This window comes from Homo sapiens, chromosome 12, assembly GCF_000001405.40.
Source record: "Homo sapiens chromosome 12, GRCh38.p14 Primary Assembly".
In the NCBI taxonomy this organism is placed as follows: Eukaryota; Metazoa; Chordata; class Mammalia; order Primates; family Hominidae; genus Homo; species Homo sapiens.
Genome location: NC_000012.12, coordinates 55,716,023 through 55,734,934, shown reverse-complemented (window position 1 = coordinate 55,734,934; position 18,912 = coordinate 55,716,023). Strand labels below are relative to the sequence as shown.

Sequence of the window (18,912 nt, the reverse complement as noted above, 5' to 3'; positions counted from 1 at the left end):
CTCCCAAAGTGCTAGGTCACAGGCATGAGCCACTGCACTCGGCCTGGCCACCATTCTTAAAGTAATAAAACCAATTCCCTTAGTTTATTCTGTGATCCTCACAACTGCCCTGTGAGGTGGGGAAGGGAGTTGTTTCCCTCCTACTCAACTGGGAGAAAGCTGAGGCTCAGGGAGAGAGGTCACCCCATTCATGAGCAGCAGAACCAGGTCTCACACCAGGGCTTCTGGCCTCAGAGAGCTTCTTGCTGGCGGCAGGTGTGACAGCACTGGAGTGGTACATCAAGACCCTGGCAGGGTGTGGTGGTTCACGCCTGTAATCCCAGCACTTTGGGAGGCCAAGGCAGGTGGATCACTTGAGGTCAGGAGTTCAAGACCAGCCTGACCAACATGGTGAAACCCCGTCTCTACTAAAAATACAAAAAGTTAGCCAGCGTGGTGGTGGGCACCTATAATCCCAGCTATTCAGGAGGCTGAGGCAGGAGAATCGCTTGAACCTGGGAGGCAAAGGTTGCAGTGAGCTGAGATCGCGCCATTGCACTCCAACCTGGGCAACAAGAGCGAAACTCTGTCGGAAAAAAATAAAAAAGAATTAAAAAAATTAGCTAGGTGTGGTGGCGGGCTACAGCCTGTAATCCCGGCTACTCGGGAGGCTGAGGCAGGAGAATCACTTGAAACTGGTAGGCGGAGGTTTTGGGGAGCTGAGTGCCACTACACTTCAGCCTGGGTGACAGAGTGAGACTTCATCTCAAAAAAAAAAAAAAAAAGACCCAGATTCTTACGTGCAGGTTGATCTGTTGACCCTGAGTGAGTGGCTTTACCTCTCTGAGCCCCACTTTCCTGGAAGTGAGATAAAAAAGGGACTTTGGCAATATGTTCTTCTGGATACCATGGTAATGTAGTCTTGCCAATTATGAAGGGTGTGGCCTCCCCCAAAAAGTTGGAGCAGAGATGGCCACCCAGTGACTGGAAGACTCCTTTTTTTTTTTTTTTGAGATGGAGTCTCACTCTGTTGCCCAAGCTGGAGTGCAGTGGCATGATCTTGACTCACTGCAACCTCTGCCTTCCAGGTTCAAGCAATTTTCCTGCCTCAGCTTCCTGAGTAGCTGGGATTATAGGTGTGCACCACCACGCCCGGCTAATTTTTTTTTTTTTTTGAGACAGAGTCTCGCTCTGTTGCCCAGGCTGGAGTGCAATGGCGTGTTCTCAGCTCACTGCAACCGCCGCCTCCCGGGGTTAGAGTGATTCTCCTGCCTCAGCCTCCTGAGTAGCTGGGATTACAGGCGTGCGCCACAATGCCCGGCTAATTTTTGTATTTTTTAGTGGAGACGGGGTTTCACCACGTTGGTCAGGCTGTCTCGAACTTCTGACCTCGTGATCCGCCTGCCTTGGCCTCCCAAAGTGCTGGGATTACAGGCGTGAGTCACCGCCCTGGCCACACCTGGCTAATTTTTGTATTTGTAGTAGAGATGGGGTTTCACTGTGTTGTCCAGGCTGGTCTCAAACTCTTGACCTCAGGTGATCCACCCGCCTCGGCCTCCCAAAGTGCTAGGATTATAGGCGTGAGCCACCGCGCCTGGCCTGGAGACTCCTTTGTGTTCCCCAGTCTCCACCAACCAGTAAATACATAGTGGTGATGTCGCCATGGAGCCCGTGCACAGTACTCCCCTGGGGGCTGCACTCAGTGCTGGTGCTGGGGCATATAACCTACTCTCTGGAGAGCCCTGCGGGATGGTCTATGAGCTTTTCTGCCAGCAGGACCTGCAAACGCGCAGGTGCAGCCCCTCCTTCACCCTGCGATCTGAGAGATGCCATCAAGCACCGTGCCTCTATCCTTATCCAAAGCTGAGGCCTCTGGACTTAAATTTCAGGCCCCCATTTCAGACCCAACCTCTGGACCTTGAATTTTATCCACCACTCTCCTTACCCTCCCAGTGGGGGGATGGCTTTGATGATGCATCCTTGTTTCCTTCTTCCCTCCCATCCCTATCTCTTCCTCTTCCCTCTCCCCACTCCTCTCTTACACCTATTTTTCAAAAATTAAAGAAAATGTTTTTTAAACTGAAGCCCAAGAAGCATTGATCCTTCATGTATTTTTGCCTCCTCTTCCCCCATCCTTCCCCATGCCTCCCACCCTCCTCTATGTCTCTCACTTTCCGGTTTTTCCTCACCCCTCTCCCAACTCTCCTCAACTGTTCTTTTCCCTTGATTCTGGATCCCTTCTTTCTTCCTCACCTTCCTCATATCCCCTCACCCTCCTCATATCCCCTCACCCTTTCCTGTGCTTAGATGCAGGCTACAAGCTGCTGTGCATGGCACTGGGTCTGGCTGATGCCTACATGCTCTCAGAAGGCTGCAGGTTTGCTTGAGACATCTGTGGCCCCCATGCTGTGTCGCTGGGCCTAGGTGGAGGCGTGGTGAAGCTGGAGGGAAAGCTGGCTTTGCTTGGTGTGGAGGGACAAGGGTCCCCGCCTCAGCACACCTACCACCAACTGGTGCCAGGCAACCAAGAGGCAGCAGCCTGGGCCAGCCAGGACGGCTTGGTGGCATATCTGGATGTCAGGCACTTGGAACAGGTGCTGGGGGATCTGAAGGATGTGAAGGGCCAGGTCTGAGATCAGCCACTTCCCACTAAGAGGCCCCTCTATCCTGCACCCCAGCAAACACATGGAGCTCTGTGTCAACTTTCCAGGCTGTAGAAGTGGGCCATTCTTTGTGTGTATGTGTGTAGTAAAATATATATAACATAAAATTCAGGGACATTGAGTACATACACATTGTGCAACCATCAGCACCATCCATCTCCACAACATTTTCATCTTTCTTTCTTTTTCTTTGAGACAGAGTCTCGCTCTGTTGCCCAGGCTGGAGTGCAATGGCACAATATCGGCTCTACTAAAAATACAAAATTATCCAGGCATGGTGGCGCATGCCTGTAATCCCGGCTACTCAGGAGGCTGAGGCAGGAGAATCTCTTGAACCTGGGAGGCAGAGGTTGTGGTGAGTTGTGCCACTGCACTCCAGCCTGGGCAACAAGAGCAAAACTCCATCTCAAAAACAAAAACAAAAACAAAAAACCTAGATGTTTATGGTTAAGGAAACAAATTAATAATAATAAAAAAGATAATATCGATTCTTACAAAATACAGTAATTAAGAAAATTAATCCTTTATCACAAACTTTTGTAGCAGAGCACATCTCTCCATATATACAAGCATTATACCGAGGGTGAATGTGTTCCTCCTCTTACTTTTTTTTTTTGAGACAGAGTTTTGCCGGGCACAGTGGCTCACGCCTGTAATCCCAGCACTTTGGAAGGCTGAGGGGGCGGATCACGAGGTCAATAGATGGAGACCATCCTGGCCAATATGGTGAAACCCCATCTCTACTAAAAACACAAAAATTAGCTGGGCGTAGTGGTGCGTGCCTGTAGTCCCAGCTACTTGGGAGGCTGAGGCAGGAGAATCACTTGAACACGGGAGGCGGAGGTTGCAGTGAGCCAAGATGGCACCACTGCACTCCACCCTGGTGACAGAGCGAGACTCCGTCTCAAAAAAAAAAAAAAAAAAAAGAGAGACGGAGTTTCACTCTTGTTGCCCAGGATGGCATGCAGCAACACGATCTCTGCTCACTGCAACCTCTGCCTCCTGGGTTCAAGTGATTCTCCTGCCTCAGCCTCCTGAGTAGCTGGGACTACAGGCACACATCATTGTGCCCAGCTACTTTTTGTATTTTTAGTAGAGACGGGGTTTCACCGTGTTGGCCAGGCTGGTCTCGAACTCCTGACCTCAGGTGATCCACCTGCCTAGGCCTCCCAAAATGCTGGGATTACAGGTGTGGTGAGCCACTGCGCCTAGCCCCTCCTCTTACTTTGGGGAACATCCTACTCTGTCTATGGAGCAGCTGTTGTTTCACCACTTTACTTTCTTAATAAACTTGCTTATACTTTGCACTGCGACTCGCCCTGAATCTTTCTTGCATGAGATCCAAGAACCCTCTCTTGTGGTCTGGATTGGGACCCCTTTCCTGTAACAAATGCATTGGCTGATAGGAGAATAAAGAAAAAAAAAGAGGAAAAACTAGAGTAACTTCTCTACATAATCATATTATATGACCGTTTTGTTAACCATGATAACAGTTAACAAAATAATTTTCTTATGTCTAATTCTCAGTCCATGTCTGTATGTCCCAAAATGTCTTTCACAGCTGGTTTGTTCAACCATTCAATGAAGGACCAAACATTGCAGTTGGTTGTTATGTATCTAGTCTCTCAATCTTGATCTTCAGACCACCTTCAGCCCATCTCACCACATCCGTCCCAAGCCCTTTGAGCCAGCCAACCCCAACCTGCCATGTACTTTACAAAATGCTCCTTTTTTTTCCACAGTCGACTGCTTCTCTGTCCCTGGAGCTCTCCCCTTTATTCTCCAAGGTCACCTTGAGCACATCCTTCTGCTCCGTGAAATCCATTCTCCTCTCCCTTTCCCTCCCTCTGAGCTTAACCAGCTGCCACCGCAGGCTTCTGCCTTTCTTCACAGTGTGGCCAGAACTCGGTTCTGCCTGCTAGCAGAGGGCAGGGCCGCTGTCTTCCTCTCCTTGCAGCCCCCAAGCCTAGCACATGCCTGGCATCTAGTGGCAGCACAATAAGGAACCTGATGAATACTCCTTTCTTCTGCTCTCCGCTCCTCCTCCACAGCCTGCCAGCCATGGTCAGGAAGAGCAAGATCCGGAATGGGCTTGGTGTGTCCCGCGGGAAGGCCGTGATCCTGGAAGATGCTTCTCAGCCCAGCCCGGATCTCCTTCCTTTAGCTCTAGAGACTTCTTTCATTCTTTGTGTACACACATACACTAAGACTCAGGAAGTGGTTCTTGAGGCAGGACCTTAAGAGCCCAAGGAGTGGGGCCGAGGCTGGAGGTGTGGGGGTGTGACGGCCGGTCCTACTCTCCGGCCTGTTCAGATCAGCTCCTTCTGGGGACCACCCCTGGCACACAAGGGAGGGAGGCAGCTTGATCCCCCTAGCCCGCTTCCAGCCCTCACCTGGCTTTGTCTTCTGGGATAAGACGGGGAAATCCAGAGGATGTAAGCCTCTCCTGCCTTCGTGTCTTCCCCCAAGCCCTCGCTATCACAGACGGATGCAGGAGCTGTCTGGGAGGCTGGAAGCACAGACCTTGTCAATCCTCCCCCAGAGGGCGGGACCCGACGCGGACGTGTCTTGATTGACTGGGTAGCGTGGCTTCGGGGAAGGGCTTCCTCCCCTTTTCTCAGACTAGGATCCCTGGAAAATGGAGAAGCTGTGCTAATAGAGGGGGGCCAGAAATCCCCACTCTAGAATGCTGTAGAATGTTGGGAGACACCCAGGATGTGAGCCAGGGACTTTCTGGAAGTGTTTGTTCTGGCCCCACCCGACCCCAGGCAGTCCCCAGCTGTCTGCACAGTCGGATGGGGAGGGGGCTTGCACAGAGTTGGAGCCAGAGGAGAGAGCTGGCTCATCCCCTACGGTAGGATGGGGAAACCTCACAGACCACATTGTCACCCGGCCTCAGCTCTCCGCCCCGGCGCTCAGAGGGTAACTCTCACCCACCTCGTCCGCTTCTCTGAACCAGAGTGACCCAGGCTGCGCTCCGCCCCGCTCTCCTACCCCGAGTTGGCACGGAGGTATAGCGCCAGAGGGGGGCCCCAGGCGCCCCGAGGTCTTGCCCTTGCGGCTTTCCCTTTGCGGGGGTGGGCGCCTTCTTCCGGGTAGGGGCCACGTGGCCCTGGCCGGGCGGGGGGCTCGGCCCACCCCGCGCCGGGCCCAGTGACTCAGGCCGCAGCTGTTACCGCGTCACATGAGGGAGGCCGGCGGCCACTCGGCGGGGGAGGGGACCGTGGCTGGAGCCCGGGGCGGGGCCGCGCGGCAGGCGGGGCGGGAGCCGGGGGGCGCAGCTAGAGAGCCCCGGAGCCGCGGCGGGAGAGGAACGCGCAGCCAGCCTTGGGAAGCCCAGGTGAGGCCGCGGGGACCCGGCGGACTTCGGCGCGGGCTGGGAGAGACCACCCGCAGTCCCTTCCTCCAGGGCTCGCCCCAGGCCCGCGGAGACTCGTCCGGCGCTCTCCAGCCGCCCTGGAGCAACTTTGCTTCGAAGTTCCCTGGGCCCGGGCAGGGTGTGGCGGGGGTGCTGGCTGCACTTTTTTTTTTTTTGGTGGGCGGGGAGGTCAGAGCCCAGGGGAAAGGGGCTGGGGCGGGGGTCGGGGTTGGGCTGAAGACCGTTTCTCCAGGCTGGGTGTTGGGTGGGGAAAGGGTGTTTGACGCCCGGAGACTGGCGGGCCGAGGGTCGGCGTCAGGCTCAAGCCCCTGCCGGCGCCCTTGGATCTGTCCTGGGCCCCAGAGGCGGCGGGGCGGGGTCCGGGCTTCGCGGCCGTCGCCCCCACCCCTCTCCTGCGGGTAAAGAGGGGGCTGGGAGACGTGGATCCGACCGCGGGTTTCCGGGTGGGAGGGGCCGGGAATCGGGGCCGTGAAGGGAAGCCCTCGAGGGCCGGCCGGGAGCCCGGAAACCGAGGTCCCCCTTCGGCCAGTTTTAATCCCCCCGCCCTCCCCTCTGCCCCAGGCCCGGCAGCCATGGCGGTGGAAGGAGGAATGAAATGTGTGAAGTTCTTGCTCTACGTCCTCCTGCTGGCCTTTTGCGTGAGTGGCGAGGGGTCCTGGGGGGCGCGCCGGCAGGGTGCGGGGAGACCTGGCTCCACAGTGGTGAGGGCTGAGGGAATGAGAATTAAGGCAGCTGGAGACCAGATGTGGAAAGAAAGCCAGGGAAAGACAGCGCAGCCACTCCCTCCTCCAGTTTTCCTGGACACCTGAGGCTTGTTTCCACCGAGAATGGCCATCCTGGGTGTGCAGCAACCCCTACCCCCATCCCTCCTGGCCCTTCCTGTCTGGTGACCCAACCACTTGTGATATGGGGCAGTGGGGCAACCAGCCAACCGCCTGATGCTATCGCCATGGGGCTTCCCTTCGCTCTCCCTTCTCCCCTCTCTCCCTCCCCAACCCTCTCATCCCTGTCCAGCCCCTCTCCCCCTTTCCCTCCTCCCAGCGCTTGGGGGTGAGGAAGGGCTCTGCCCACTTCAATTTGCTCCTGCCCTGGGCTCCTGGCTTGAGAGGCTACTGTTTGTCTAGGGAGGGACACATCACTCTTGCTCCCTTTTCCTCTTCCCTTCTCCTGGCCTAACTGGCCAGAGGAACCTTAGTCACAGCTGATGCGCGCGTGGGATGTGCACTGGAGGATAGTGAGGGGGCAGTTCTGGGAGAGAATTGAGCTGGGAGCCCTGGAGGCCTGTAGAAAGCATTATTCTAGGTCAGAAATACGTGTCTTGAGGTCAAGGCTTTCTGGGAGGTTTTTGAATTTGGTCATGTCCCTGATTAAAGAGCCGGGAGGGGATCAGGGGAGGTAGGGGCAGGCAAGGATGGGTCATCCCCCTACCCCACAGCCAAAGAAATTCCCTAGAGGTGTGAGAATCTCTCTTCCGGATGGGGTCAAGTCTGTGTCCTAGGTGTACCCCCTGCCCTCCACCATGGAGGGCCACTGTGTTGTGGATATGGCCTAATCCTCACCTGATTTTCTCTTAGGCCTGTGCAGTGGGACTGATTGCCGTGGGTGTCGGGGCACAGCTTGTCCTGAGTCAGACCATAATCCAGGGGGCTACCCCTGGCTCTCTGTTGCCAGTGGTCATCATCGCAGTGGGTGTCTTCCTCTTCCTGGTGGCTTTTGTGGGCTGCTGCGGGGCCTGCAAGGAGAACTATTGTCTTATGATCACGGTGAGTTGGGGGCGGGACCAACATGGGCGGTCTGGGACTGCCAGAGCAGCTTGGTTCGGGCTCAGGAAGGTGGGTGAGGTGGGTGGGTGAGGAAGACCTTTGTGAGTGTCCAGGGACCGGCTGTGCCAAAACGGGCCCCTGTAATGCATAGACTCCAAACTTGACTTCTGTCCTTTGCTCCTGCAGTTTGCCATCTTTCTGTCTCTTATCATGTTGGTGGAGGTGGCCGCAGCCATTGCTGGCTATGTGTTTAGAGATAAGGTAAGCAGGGAATAATGGGAAGGGCCTGCCTCAGCCGGGTCTGGGACCCTGGTGCTTGAATTCTGACTGCAACAGTGCTCCTCCGTACTCTCAGGTGATGTCAGAGTTTAATAACAACTTCCGGCAGCAGATGGAGAATTACCCGAAAAACAACCACACTGCTTCGATCCTGGACAGGATGCAGGCAGATGTGAGTGGGGTTGCTGGGAGCAGGGGTGGTGGGAATAGAGAATTCTCATCTCCAAGGCTGGGTGTGGTGACTCACGCCTGTAATCTCAGCACTTTTGAAGGCCGAGGTGGGCAGATCACCTGAGGTCAGAAGTTCAAGACTAGCCTGGCCAACGTGGTGAAACCCTGTCTCTACTAAAAATACAAAAATTAGCCAGGTGTGGTGGTGAGTGCCTGTAATCCCACCTACTCAGGAGGGTGAGGCAGGAGAATCGCTTGAACCCGGGAGGCGGAGGTTGCAGTGAGCCGAGATTGAGCCACCGCTGGGCACTTGTCTGGGCAACAGAGCAAGTCTCTGTCTCAAAAAAAAAAAAAAAAAAAAAAAAAGAATTCTCATCTCCATATTGAAGGTGAAGGTTCACTTAACAACCTTCTTCTCCATATTTCTTCCCTCCCCCAGTTTAAGTGCTGTGGGGCTGCTAACTACACAGATTGGGAGAAAATCCCTTCCATGTCGAAGAACCGAGTCCCCGACTCCTGCTGCATTAATGTTACTGTGGGCTGTGGGATTAATTTCAACGAGAAGGCGATCCATAAGGAGGTAGGGAGGAGACTGTGTATGGGACTTGGGAAACCTGGGAAATGTTTTAGAATGCAAGAGACCCAGGATGGAGGTGGACAGGGTCAGGGATGGGGAGGGGATCTGGAAATGCTAAGGGTGGGGTGAAAGGTACAGGGGCAGGGAAGAGACTGATGGACCAAGGGAGGGGGTTGGGGTGGGAAGTTTCTGATGGTGCTTTTGTCCTTTGTGCCTGCCACCTTCAGGGCTGTGTGGAGAAGATTGGGGGCTGGCTGAGGAAAAATGTGCTGGTGGTAGCTGCAGCAGCCCTTGGAATTGCTTTTGTCGAGGTAAGAGATAACCCTGAGCAGGGGCTGGGACTCTGTCCAGGGTGCCTGGAGGGAAGGGGCTGAGGGGAGGAGGGTGCTGAACAGGAGGTACTGGCCTGGGAGTGTGTGTTTGGAGTCTCTTGCATGGGTCTGAGGTAGCTAGCCCTTCTGACTCCTCTCCACCCCTGTCCCCATCTTTCCTTCTAGGTTTTGGGAATTGTCTTTGCCTGCTGCCTCGTGAAGAGTATCAGAAGTGGCTACGAGGTGATGTAGGGGTCTGGTCTCCTCAGCCTCCTCATCTGGGGGAGTGGAATAGTATCCTCCAGGTTTTTCAATTAAACGGATTATTTTTTCAGACCGAAAAGAGATGGTCTGAGTTTGTCTTAGAGTGATGCTTGATTCCTTCCTTTCCTTACTGATGTTCCCTGTCCTCTGGGACCTTAATGCATGTGTACTTCGAGGTCTATTTTGGGGGGTGTTTGGGAAAGGAGGACTTTGCGAAGGTGTTGGTTGGGCAGGCAGTGGGAGAAGTGAGGATCCAGAGACTGTGGTGCTTTCTGCCCCCTAGTCTTATGCTGCCAGGCTCACTATGAACATTCATGAAGCCATCTGCTGCATAAGTCAAAGCAGCTCCCCAGAAAGGTCCCACCTGCGAGAGCCCAGCCCCCATCTGCCTTGGACATCTTCCTGGCCTTCTGTGCACCGCTAAGGGCCCAGCACCTCCCTTCCTGGCCAATCCTCAAGGGATCCAGCTCCTTTCGAAGTATGATAAGTTGCCTTGACACCTGTGTGGTCAGTGTCCTTAGCAGGAGAATTTATGTGAATATTGCCTTTTCTTCCATGGAAGCCACCCAGCCTGGCCCAGAACCCTCATCACCTGCTCTTCTCCCCCAAGAAATATGAAGACCATTCCCAGTACAGACACTGAATTGCAACCTTACTCCCCTTCAGAAAATAAGGGAAATGTATTAAAGTGCCCTTTGATGGCCACTCCCCGACGTGCAGCTGTAGATGTGAGGCAGTTCCCTGGCGCCCCACTGTGGGTGCTAGCTGTTTTGCAGGGACTGAACAGGCCAGAGACCGTGAGCATGTCGGTTTGGAGTAGTTGGCACTTAAATGGGGTCAGCCTTCCACTGGGCACATTTCTGCCCACCTTCTTTTTATTTTTTAAACAATACACTTTTGTTAGTGCTTATTTTGTGGCAGGCACCAGGCAGTACCAGGGTGGGGGCAGAAATAAATCAAAGTCCTTGTCCTTGAAAAACAATCTCTTGCTGGAAGGCTGGATTCAGTAGACTGCTTGGGCAGGCTTGGGAAGGACCCAGGTGAGCACAGCATCCACCAGGCTGGCTGGCAGGTAGGAGGCAGGCAGCCAGAGCAGCTTGGCATCCCAACCTGGGCTGTAGCGGGTTCGGGGGTGTCGAGCAGTCAGGGCATGCTCCAGGCATCGGCTCACCTTGGTTAGGTCCGGGTCACAGATCAGGTTCATGATGCGCTGTTGCATTTTCAGGTCTGCAGCCCCATAGGTGGTTGCAATCAGTTTCCCTTCCTCACTCCAGCCCATCTTAGGTACTGTCTTCTGGGGCCCTGGGCTTGTCACCCTCAGTCCCCTCCTCAGTGTGGGGAGTGGGCAGGTTCCACATGGCCTGGGCACTCTTGTAACATCCTGTTCACCCTCAACCCTGCCCTGGGTGCCCCACCCACCTCCTAGCAGGCTTATGCAGGACTGGCCTTTCTGGTACTTGTTTCCCTTCATGTGCCCCTGTGTGGGCCTGGCTACTCACACTTGGTGAGGAAGGCCCCCCCATAGTGGGCCTGTGTGGCAGGAGGCAGCCGTGCCCAGCAGGCCTGCAGGGTTTTCTCCAGACTCTCCAGGTTGGTCACAGGGGTTCGGAAGAAGCCAGGCTCCACGATGGAGACTCGTATCCCAAAATGAGCTACATCCCGCCTAGAGTCGGGGCAGAGCGAAGTTGCTGGGTTCTTGCCCTATAGGGAGGGGACTTTGAGGGACATGGGTTGGGGAGCTGAGAAAGTTACCACAGACCAGGGACAAGAGTTTTGACGGAGATGCCTACTGCCCCGGGACAAGGGTCAAGTGGGGTAGAGGGAGGAAAGTATTTTTGAGGTTTGTTTTCTTTGATCTAGAGCAGGGGTCAGCACGTTTTTTTCTTAAAGGGCCAGAGAGTTAATATTTTAAGCATGGCAGGCCAAGAAACAAAATTAATGATATTATCAGGTACTTATATAACAGTTTACAATGTAACCATTTAAAAATAAAAAAAACCATTATCAGCTTGTAGGCAGCTGGCCAGATCTGGCTTGAGTACTGAGTTTGCCGATTCCTGACCTAGAGGAACCCCATTCCCTTGCTCCCAAAACACATGGTTGAGCCCTGAGTGCTGGATATTGAAGGGTATAGTCTCGTATTTGCTGGAGGGTAAGCTGATGGGGAAAGTGGGGATACATCCCACTGCCCTGGCACAGATGTAGAAATCCAAGTATAGGTAAGGAGCAGGAGGGAAGGGGATAAAAAAAAATTCAAGTATAAAGTATGTGTTCCAGTATGCAGTGGCTCACACCTATAATCCCAACACTTTGGGAGGCCCAGGCGGAAGCATCGCTTGAGGCCGGGAGTTGGAGACAAGTCTGGTCACCACAGCAAGACCCCATCTGTAAAAAAATACTAGCCAGGCATGCTGGCACGCGCCTGTGGTCTCAGCTACTCAGGAGGCTGAGGCGGATATCGCTTGAGCTGCTTGAGCCTAGGAGTTTGAAGTTCAGTGGGCCGTGACTGCACCACTGCACTCCACCCTGGGTGAGAGCAAGGCCTTGTCTCAAAACTAAAAGTATGTGTCCCATGATGCTGCCTGAAAAATTAAGGCTGAGAGACAGGAGACATTCAGGTTATTTGCTGAGTGATGGTGACAAACGCAGGCTTCCTTAGAAGGTAGACTAAGCTTAGGCGCCTTATACTCCTGCTAAGAACTCAGGCCTTGGGCCGTGTGTGGTGGCTCATGCCTGTAATCCCAGCACTTTGGGAGGCCGGGTCGGGTGGATCACCTGAGGTCAGGAGTTCAAAACCAGCCTGGCCAACATGGTATAACTCCATCTCTACTAAAAATACAAAAAAATTAGCTGGGAGTGGTGGCACGTGCCTGTAAGCCCAGCTAATCGGGAGGCTGAGGCAGGAGAATCACATGAACCTGAGAGGCAGGGGTTGCAGTGAGCTGAGATCTCGCCATTGCACTCCAGCCTAGGCAACAAGAGCAAAACGCTTAAAAAAAAAAAAACAAAAAAAAACTCAGGCCCTACTCCCGTTGTCCTCATCATGTCTCCTTTGTGCTCCCACGGAACTTTGAACCTTATTGTTTAAAGACGAGAGGCAAGGCCGGGCGTGGTGGCTCACACCTGTAATCCCAGCACTTTGGGAGGCTGAGGTGGGCGGATCACGAGGTCAGGAGTTTGAGACCAACCTGGCCAACATAGTGAAACCCTGTCTCTACTAAAAATACAAAAATAAGCCAGGCATGGTGGCGCATGCCTGTAGTCCCAGCTACTCGGGAGGCTGAGGCAGGAGAATCGCTTGAACCCCGGGGGTGGAAATTGTGGTGAGCCAAGATCGCGCCACTGCACTCCAGCCTGGCGACAGAGCAAGACTCCATCTCAAAAAACAAAAAACAAACACGTTAAAAATGGGTAAAGAGAAGTAATCTACTTATGGTCACAAAGCTTACATAAGGGTAGACTTCATTGAACCCATGAAGTCTAGCCCTAAACTGTCTCTTCTTAACTATTCCAATGTGCTGTATCTTAACCACCTCTGCTGGCCCACGTTTGTTGAGTGGGCTGCTGTTAGTCCTGGAACCCAGAGCCCTGTACCCCTCACCTCAGGCTGTCAGAGAAGGCCTCCAGGCCAAATTTGGAGACACAGTAGCCCCCACCATTGGCTGCCAGGCGACCCAGGACGCTGGTGATGTTGATCACCCGGCCCCGGGCTTGCTGCAGCAGAGGCAGCAGGGCAAGGGTGACCCCGATGGGACCCATTGTGTTCACATTCAGCACCCGCTGGAAATCGTCCCGGGTCAGCCATGGTGTGGGTCCGATGATACCAGCCACACCAGCATTATTCACCAGACCAAAAAGCCCTGTGGGGAGATGAAAAGGATGCTGGGGGTAGGTGAGGCACTCCCACAGCTCCCTCTTCTTCCTGGGAGCATCTGAAAACTGCTTCTCCTCAAATTGTCCCTTTAGCTTACCACAGCCCTTGCAGGTGACTCCTGGGGTGACTGTGGGGATCAGGACACCCCACACCATATTCCTGGTGGTCTACCATACTTACCTGCTTCCTTAACGTGCATCTCCACCCACTTGGCTGCCTGCTGGACGCTCTGGGGATCAGTGATATCCAACAGGGTGGTGTGGAGGCGGGAGGAGGCCACCCGCTGCAGGTCCTCGGCCCCGGAGGGGGTCAGGCAGCTGGCCAGGACTCGGAAGCCTCTCTGGTCCAGCTGCAGTGCCAGAAGGCGCCCAAAGCCTGAGTCACAGCCGGTGATGAAGACAAAGGCATTGCTGGCGGGCAGGCTCTGCCGGTCCCTGAGCAACCACAGCACTGCCCAGAGTAAGGCACCCAGCAGAAGAGGCAGCCACATAGCTGGAGCCCAAGTGACCTACAGGTGGCAGCCTAGGCTGGGCAGAAAAACTTGTCCAGTTTACTGTGGCCCTCAAGCCCTTTCCCCTAATACCCTCCCTAGCTGGAAGCATCTGGTGTGAGCATATTGAGAAATTATCTGGTTGGCAGATAATTGGCCAACCATGGCTCATCTGTTCAAAGCAAAGATGTGGGCAGACCCTGTATTTGTGGCTAACTTAACTAAAACCACATGAGCCAGATCCTGTGTACAGACCTGCTGTATGGAGCAGAGGCATCTTTTTTTTTTTTTTTTTTTTTTTGAGATGGAGTCTCACTCTGTCGCCCAGGCTGGAGTGCAGCAGAGGCATCTTCTTGCTTGCCTCACACCACCTCTCCTTCTAAACCAGGGACACTGAACCTTCTATATGCAACCTGGGTCTTGTGTTTGGAATGATGTATAGGGCCAAGAGGTTTGCTGTGTGATACTGAGCATCTCACTGTCTCTCTCAACCTATTTTCTCATCTACCAAGTGGGGCTAAGACCCACCAGGTCCACCTCAGAGTTGTGGAGGATCAAAGGGGATAATGTGTGAGGAAGCATGTTAAAAGCTGAAAGTTTTGAGTTGGCAATACATGTAATATCTGGCTAGTCTTCTCAGTTCCCCCAGCTCCCAGTATCCACTTACCTCCTGTGGCGAAAGCTGGCAGGTACTACAGCGCCCGAAGCTTATTCTTTTGCTTTTGTTTAAGAGACTGCTCCCAGTCTTCCCAGCCTCCCACACTAACTACTGCTAAGGCCAAAGTCCGGAGTGGGTGGACTTGGATGCCAGGCGTATTAAGTGTATGTGTGACAGGGTGGGGATAGGACTGAGGAGGAGGAGGAGCCAGGGAGGCTGGAGCTTGCCTGGCTGAAGCCAGGACTTGGCAGAGGCCAGATTTGCCTAGGCTCCCCCCACCCCTTGGCTGTCTTTCTCAGCCTGGGTTCCTGACCATCTATGTCATGGTCTCCAAGGAGGAGGGAGCTGTCAAGGATGGCAGCTGCACTGCTCTGTTGGTAACGGTTACTGGACCTGTCATTCCTCCCCCTTCTCAGCCCTGAAGTGCCCCCAGGAATTAATCTCCCACCTGGCTCAGACTCATGACACTGCTTAGAGTTAGCCTGGGAGAGGCCATGAGCACGTGGAGAGGCAGAAAGCCAGAGCTGGGGACCAGGCCTGTACCTTGCCTTGTTTCTCTTCTGTAGGAAACAAGTCCTGAATTAGGAAGCTTGGGGCAGGGCTACTAGGACCTTCTCTCAGGAGGGATGGGAACTCCCACCCTCTGCTTGCCTAACAGACACCTGCACAAGGGCCATGGAGGAGAAGAGAGTTGGGATAGTAAGAGGAAGCTAGTTCCACCCTCTCCCCAAAAGGTACCTGTCCCTCAGGGAAACCACCTTTGAACCTTCCACTCCCACCCCCGACACTGGAGCTAGTAGCTCTCTGAAACACACCACAGAGAAACGGAGGCTTGTGTTTTATTCAAGGCTTGTCAGCCTCCCTCCTTCCCCCTGCGGGTGAGGTAGGAGGGATAGGGTTGGGGGAGGGAACAGGGGCTAGGAAGGGGCAGACTGCAGCTGCCCTTTGTAGACATATTCCAGTGCAGTGGCAATGGTGCGCATGTCCAGCTCGATGCTCCGAGCCCAGTTCTCCACATCCCCAATTTCCTGGGAAGGGGGAGAGGAGGTGGGAGCCCAGGAATCAGAATGGGTAGAGTATGGCTTCCAGTCTGGGGAATACGTTTTATTCATCTCCTGGAAAAGGCTTTACTTGGACCCACCAACTGCTTTTCTTTCTTTCTCTACCTTTTCTGACACTGGGGCTATAGATGGGGTTTCTGGGACCACCCTACTTCCTCCTTAACCTAAACCTGAGGTAACCTGACTGGAGGCAGCCAATGGGGGCCCAGGATTGGGGTGGTGAGGTAGGGAGTATGGCCCACCTTGAGTGCCTGGTTGAAGTTCTCCACCATTCCGATCCACTGGCCTGTCTGCTTGGCAAATTGGGCAGCCTGGACCTGTAGGGTCTTCACCTCATGGTCCAGCTTTCTCTGGTTCATGTAGGCCTGGGCCACACTGGGGGGTTGGAGGAGGGAGGAGATCAGCTCCAGCTAGTTGGGGGTGGTCTCCGGGACTAATATTCCATTGCAGCAGTGGGAGTTCAGCCAAGAATCAGGGCTCATAATTTTGGCCATTTTTGGATGTGATGCAAATGACTACCAGTACATGCAAATAAACCCAGCTCCTTCCTTTCACTCCCAGGATTCCCAGGAGAGCCAAGCTCGGAGCTGACTAGAAACATACCAGCTCCAAACCCCAAAAAGGAGTTCCTGCAGCTGAGTGGGGGAAGGGAGGGAAAACCTGGGGTGATATCCCTGAGGAAAAAGCTGGGAGGGAAAAAGGGGCATGGAAAAACTGGGAAAATCCAGCAGGAGGAACACATCTGGCAGTGATTGGAAGCCTAGGGATCTATGCAAGAAGTTGGAGAGGGAAATTGGGCCCCTCCCTGAAGCCGGGTTAGGATGGGAGTACAAACCCCCTCCCCAGGAACCCTGGGTCAAAAGAGGGTATCCCAGGGGTTTCTTCTCGGCTCTCAGTTGCTCTCCCAAGCCTTCGCTTTTGCCCACACAGATCAAGGAACACACACAAACACACACACACACACACACACACATGCTCTCCCTCCCTTCTGCCTTAGGCACTAGTTTTTCTTTTCAATCAAGGTATGGGCTGTGGTTACCATTACTACCATGGGGTTGGTGTCCCCAACCTTCTGCCAGTGTTTTTTGCCCTCCCCAACCCCTGCAATAATTGTTCTCCTTTATTGGCTGTTGAATTTTTCACTTCCCACCCCAGAGCTCTACTCAGCCAGGAGATTCCACATCCGGTGCCCCCACCCACTGGAATGTGTGGGGGCTGGAGCGGGGAAGGGGTTGGTGGGGGCTGAGGGAGTGGGCAGGACACCTGACAGGGGCCAAGATAGACTGAGCCTTTGTTTTCCTTTCCGGGGAATGAGAGGAGGCGTGGGCAGCAACACAAAACCCTTTCTAATCTGGCTTTGGCTTAGCTGCCCTCTAAGCTGAAAGTGGGGTGGCATCTAGCAAAGGAAAAGAAGAGGGAAAGGCCTGGGCCAATCTCACAAATGATGGGCACAGCAGAGCCCAGGAGGTGCCAATGTGGGAGGGAGGAAATGGGAGGGCAGACCCTGTTCCTTCTTTTTGGGAGACAGCTGGGTCACTGTCAAGGGTCGGGTAGGAACTGAAACAGACTCCCCTGAGAATTCCTGAACTTCTGGTTTTCCCCATTGACCACCTGCTTCTATATTCACACTGAGTAAAGAGAGCTGCCTGGAGAGAAGGGAGATCAGAGGCCCCAGCCACAACTTTCTTTCTCTCAACCTTCCCCCAAGATGAGTAACAAAGATGACCCCAGCCCCTGCATGGCTCACTTGGATGACTCAGTCTCTGGATTCACACCGAGCTGTTCTACTTGACCTGGGGTGGAAGGTACCATACTGCCTTTCTTCCAATAGGCAGACTAGCAAATCATCATCTCTGCACGCTTCTGGGTCACTTAGGGTCAAGAGACAATGTTCTTTGCTTTTTCCCAAGTCTTTGGCTGTTACTTGCATTCTCATTTAGGGCTGGGGCAGGGTGTGGTCCCTAGAGACCCAATAGGAAGGTAAGAGACAGCCTGGCTCTGCCATAGCTCCCGGAACAGGTTCTACTCTCACCACCACCAGCTCTGCCATCTCTTTCCTGCCAGCTGCTCCCCAGGCTTGCCAGAGGGTGGGAGGCAGAGGAGAGGGTGGTAAGCTGTAATGAAGGAGGGTGCTCTCCCTCCTGCTGAAGTGACAGCTGGACTTGGAAGGGTGAAGGGAGGTGGGCAGATGGCATCAAGTTGTAAATGCCAGGGAAGTTAACGTGGGGAAGGGGAAATCTGGCTGCTTCTCTAACCACGGCAGCTGTTCCTCCCTTGCCCAGTGCTAGGACTCAGAGTTGACTCAAGTTGCTCTACAAAGAGCTGGGAGGGGCGGGGTAGGATAGGGGAATTAGTGGAACATCCCACCCCTTCAACAGCTATTTGAGGGCCAGACTGGCCAGTGCCTAAACTTGGGCGGGGTGGGGAAGGAGGAAACTGATGTTGATAAGAGGTCCATACCCCACATTGAGGTGATCCACCAAAGCTTCTGTCAGGCAGGTCGCTGCAGTGATAGCCTCTCGCCTCCTCTTTTCTGGGGAGAGGGGGAAAAGGAATTGGAGGGGAGACTTGGTTTTTTGAGGGGTAGTGTTAAAGGTTCCCTACCCATCCATTACTATTCTGCTAGTTGCCGAAATTTCTTAACTAATCTCTGAATGCCGGAGCTGAAAAGGACCTTGCAAAACATAGCGCAACCTCTTTCATTTTAGAGATGAGGAAACTGGTACCCTGGGAGGGAAATGGACTCACTCAGGGACGCCAGGAAGTCAGCGGCAGCGCCCAGGACTCCTGACTCCCAGGCACTCTTTCTCCACTACTCGGCCGCAGAATCGGTAACTCCGAGATTTCCAGCCCGGACTCAGGAAACAAGTGCCCCACCTCCGTTCCGGTGGTTTCAGGCCTCCAAGAAGCCCATCTCTGGGGGGTTCCCCACACCCTCCTCCCTCCAGAGTCGCTCCTTCCCGCCGCCAGGACGAGAGGCTCCCAGGGCCAATAGGCAGGGCGCTCCGGGGCAGGGGCGGGGCTAAGGTGCGGCAGGTCGGGGATTGGGGGCGTTGCCGAGGGGACCGGAGTATTGCCCAAGGGACCGGAGCCAGTTGGCAAGGGAAAGGAGTTTCAAAAAAAGCCTCTCTGAAATTCCCTCTCCCCCATGCCCGTTGCCCGCTAGCTGGCGTCTTTCCCTGGATATGGTTAGTTACTCGAGATCCAGGCTCCGGGCTGAAGCTAGGCCGCGGCCGAAGAGAAAACGGCCGACAGGATATTTGGCTCACCCTGCAGCTCCTTGCGTTCATTCTGCTTGGCCTGGTGTTCTTTTAGGAGGCGGGACAGCATGGTCACGTCGGGCTGGGGGCTGGGTACGCCGGGCCCCCTCCGGCTCCGGAAGCTGGAACGCTCACCTCGGCTCCCCGGGGCCATGTCACGTGACCGCTGTGTCACGTGAGGTT

General features: G+C 54.2%; 4 protein-coding genes and 2 long non-coding RNA genes across 25 annotated transcripts in view, besides 9 other annotated features; 2 read left to right on the top strand and 4 right to left on the bottom strand.

Annotated features, from left to right (window-relative positions):
- On the bottom strand, positions 4,083-5,841 carry CD63-AS1 (CD63 antisense RNA 1). Its single transcript, NR_183514.1, has 2 exons — positions 5,580-5,841; positions 4,083-5,273 (listed from the first exon to the last, which is right to left on the bottom strand). It is a non-coding gene; the product is annotated as a CD63 antisense RNA 1 (long non-coding RNA).
- On the top strand, positions 4,894-11,400 carry CD63 (CD63 molecule). Of its 16 annotated transcripts, none has more exons than NM_001413282.1 (9): positions 4,894-5,077; positions 5,542-5,653; positions 6,583-6,659; positions 7,596-7,784; positions 7,971-8,045; positions 8,140-8,235; positions 8,674-8,814; positions 9,039-9,122; positions 9,309-9,465. In NM_001413282.1, the coding sequence occupies exons 3-9, from the start codon at positions 6,594-6,596 to the stop codon at positions 9,372-9,374; spliced, it is 717 nt and encodes a 238-aa protein (NP_001400211.1). In that variant the 5' UTR covers positions 4,894-5,077; positions 5,542-5,653; positions 6,583-6,593; the 3' UTR covers positions 9,375-9,465. The 16 variants fall into 16 exon arrangements, with proteins under 16 accessions (NP_001400211.1, NP_001400210.1, NP_001244318.1 ...); NM_001413281.1 differs by lacking the exon at positions 4,894-5,077 and adding an exon at positions 5,262-5,359; NM_001413284.1 differs by lacking the exons at positions 4,894-5,077; positions 5,542-5,653 and adding exons at positions 5,926-5,982; positions 9,914-11,400 and having other exon boundaries at positions 9,309-9,416.
- Positions 5,494-6,100: an enhancer, noted in NCBI's record as "H3K27ac hESC enhancer chr12:56122619-56123225 (GRCh37/hg19 assembly coordinates)". NCBI's record gives its function as "activates a minimal SCP1, AML or CMV promoter by ChIP-STARR-seq in primed H9 embryonic stem cells {active_cell/tissue: H9 hESC(primed)}" and the evidence as "EXISTENCE:reporter gene assay evidence [ECO:0000049][PMID:30033119]".
- Positions 5,580-5,959: a silencer, noted in NCBI's record as "silent region_4536". NCBI's record gives its function as "represses an Ori minimal core promoter by ATAC-STARR-seq in GM12878 lymphoblastoid cells {active_cell/tissue: GM12878}" and the evidence as "EXISTENCE:reporter gene assay evidence [ECO:0000049][PMID:35858748]".
- Positions 6,230-6,529: a silencer, noted in NCBI's record as "silent region_4535". NCBI's record gives its function as "represses an Ori minimal core promoter by ATAC-STARR-seq in GM12878 lymphoblastoid cells {active_cell/tissue: GM12878}" and the evidence as "EXISTENCE:reporter gene assay evidence [ECO:0000049][PMID:35858748]".
- Positions 10,193-18,901, bottom strand: BLOC1S1-RDH5 (BLOC1S1-RDH5 readthrough). Its single transcript, NR_037658.1, has 6 exons — positions 18,739-18,901; positions 17,930-18,002; positions 15,712-15,844; positions 12,988-13,246; positions 10,886-11,049; positions 10,193-10,613 (listed from the first exon to the last, which is right to left on the bottom strand). It is a non-coding gene; the product is annotated as a BLOC1S1-RDH5 readthrough (long non-coding RNA).
- On the bottom strand, positions 10,230-14,542 carry RDH5 (retinol dehydrogenase 5). 2 transcript variants are annotated; one of them, NM_001199771.3, is made up of 5 exons: positions 14,418-14,542; positions 13,441-13,787; positions 12,988-13,246; positions 10,886-11,049; positions 10,230-10,613 (listed from the first exon to the last, which is right to left on the bottom strand). In NM_001199771.3, the coding sequence occupies exons 2-5, from the start codon at positions 13,748-13,750 to the stop codon at positions 10,390-10,392; spliced, it is 957 nt and encodes a 318-aa protein (NP_001186700.1). In that variant the 5' UTR covers positions 13,751-13,787; positions 14,418-14,542; the 3' UTR covers positions 10,230-10,389. The 2 variants fall into 2 exon arrangements, with proteins under 2 accessions (NP_001186700.1, NP_002896.2); NM_002905.5 differs by having other exon boundaries at positions 13,441-13,782.
- Positions 13,479-14,107: an enhancer, noted in NCBI's record as "H3K4me1 hESC enhancer chr12:56114612-56115240 (GRCh37/hg19 assembly coordinates)". NCBI's record gives its function as "activates a minimal SCP1, AML or CMV promoter by ChIP-STARR-seq in primed H9 embryonic stem cells {active_cell/tissue: H9 hESC(primed)}" and the evidence as "EXISTENCE:reporter gene assay evidence [ECO:0000049][PMID:30033119]".
- BLOC1S1 (biogenesis of lysosomal organelles complex 1 subunit 1) lies at positions 15,232-18,889 on the bottom strand. Of its 4 annotated transcripts, none has more exons than NR_037656.2 (4): positions 18,218-18,464; positions 17,930-18,002; positions 15,712-15,844; positions 15,232-15,436 (listed from the first exon to the last, which is right to left on the bottom strand). NR_037656.2 is itself a non-coding variant. In NM_001487.4 (4 exons), exons 1-4 carry the CDS (start codon positions 18,881-18,883, stop codon positions 15,326-15,328), a joined length of 462 nt encoding a protein of 153 aa, NP_001478.2. In that variant the 5' UTR covers positions 18,884-18,889; the 3' UTR covers positions 15,232-15,325. The 4 variants fall into 4 exon arrangements, 1 of the variants encoding a protein (NP_001478.2); NM_001487.4 differs by lacking the exon at positions 18,218-18,464 and adding an exon at positions 18,739-18,889; NR_037655.2 differs by lacking the exons at positions 17,930-18,002; positions 18,218-18,464 and adding an exon at positions 18,739-18,889.
- Positions 16,675-16,834: an enhancer, noted in NCBI's record as "active region_6458". NCBI's record gives its function as "activates an Ori minimal core promoter by ATAC-STARR-seq in GM12878 lymphoblastoid cells {active_cell/tissue: GM12878}" and the evidence as "EXISTENCE:reporter gene assay evidence [ECO:0000049][PMID:35858748]".
- Positions 16,945-16,994: an enhancer, noted in NCBI's record as "active region_6457". NCBI's record gives its function as "activates an Ori minimal core promoter by ATAC-STARR-seq in GM12878 lymphoblastoid cells {active_cell/tissue: GM12878}" and the evidence as "EXISTENCE:reporter gene assay evidence [ECO:0000049][PMID:35858748]".
- Positions 17,095-17,254: an enhancer, noted in NCBI's record as "active region_6456". NCBI's record gives its function as "activates an Ori minimal core promoter by ATAC-STARR-seq in GM12878 lymphoblastoid cells {active_cell/tissue: GM12878}" and the evidence as "EXISTENCE:reporter gene assay evidence [ECO:0000049][PMID:35858748]".
- Positions 18,185-18,424: an enhancer, noted in NCBI's record as "active region_6455". NCBI's record gives its function as "activates an Ori minimal core promoter by ATAC-STARR-seq in GM12878 lymphoblastoid cells {active_cell/tissue: GM12878}" and the evidence as "EXISTENCE:reporter gene assay evidence [ECO:0000049][PMID:35858748]".
- Positions 18,535-18,912, top strand: part of ITGA7 (integrin subunit alpha 7) — a 31,833-nt gene continuing 31,455 nt past the window's right edge. Inside the window, exon 1 of the mRNA XM_047428797.1 lies at positions 18,535-18,657. The gene's annotated coding sequence lies outside the window, so the exon portion shown is untranslated. The remainder of the gene's footprint in view (positions 18,658-18,912) is intronic.
- Positions 18,705-18,844: an enhancer, noted in NCBI's record as "active region_6454". NCBI's record gives its function as "activates an Ori minimal core promoter by ATAC-STARR-seq in GM12878 lymphoblastoid cells {active_cell/tissue: GM12878}" and the evidence as "EXISTENCE:reporter gene assay evidence [ECO:0000049][PMID:35858748]".

Coding starts and splice junctions, on each gene's coding strand:
- RDH5 (NM_001199771.3), bottom strand. CDS start 13,750: ATGTGGCTGCCTCTTCTGCTGGGTGCCTTACTCTGGGCAGTGCTGTGG. Junction 13,247..13,440: donor GATGCACGTTAAGGAAGCAG/GTAAGTATGGTA, acceptor ATCTCCCCACAG/GGCTTTTTGGTCTGGTGAAT. Junction 11,050..12,987: donor GCCTTCTCTGACAGCCTGAG/GTGAGGGGTACA, acceptor CCCCGACTCTAG/GCGGGATGTAGCTCATTTTG.
- BLOC1S1 (NM_001487.4), bottom strand. CDS start 18,883: ATGGCCCCGGGGAGCCGAGGTGAGCGTTCCAGCTTCCGGAGCCGGAGG. Junction 18,003..18,738: donor TGAACGCAAGGAGCTGCAGG/GTGAGCCAAATA, acceptor CCCTCTCCCCAG/AAAAGAGGAGGCGAGAGGCT. Junction 15,845..17,929: donor GTGGATCACCTCAATGTGGG/GTATGGACCTCT, acceptor CCAACCCCCCAG/TGTGGCCCAGGCCTACATGA.
- CD63 (NM_001413284.1), top strand. CDS start 6,594: ATGGCGGTGGAAGGAGGAATGAAATGTGTGAAGTTCTTGCTCTACGTC. Junction 7,785..7,970: donor ACTATTGTCTTATGATCACG/GTGAGTTGGGGG, acceptor TTGCTCCTGCAG/TTTGCCATCTTTCTGTCTCT. Junction 8,236..8,673: donor TGGACAGGATGCAGGCAGAT/GTGAGTGGGGTT, acceptor TCCCTCCCCCAG/TTTAAGTGCTGTGGGGCTGC.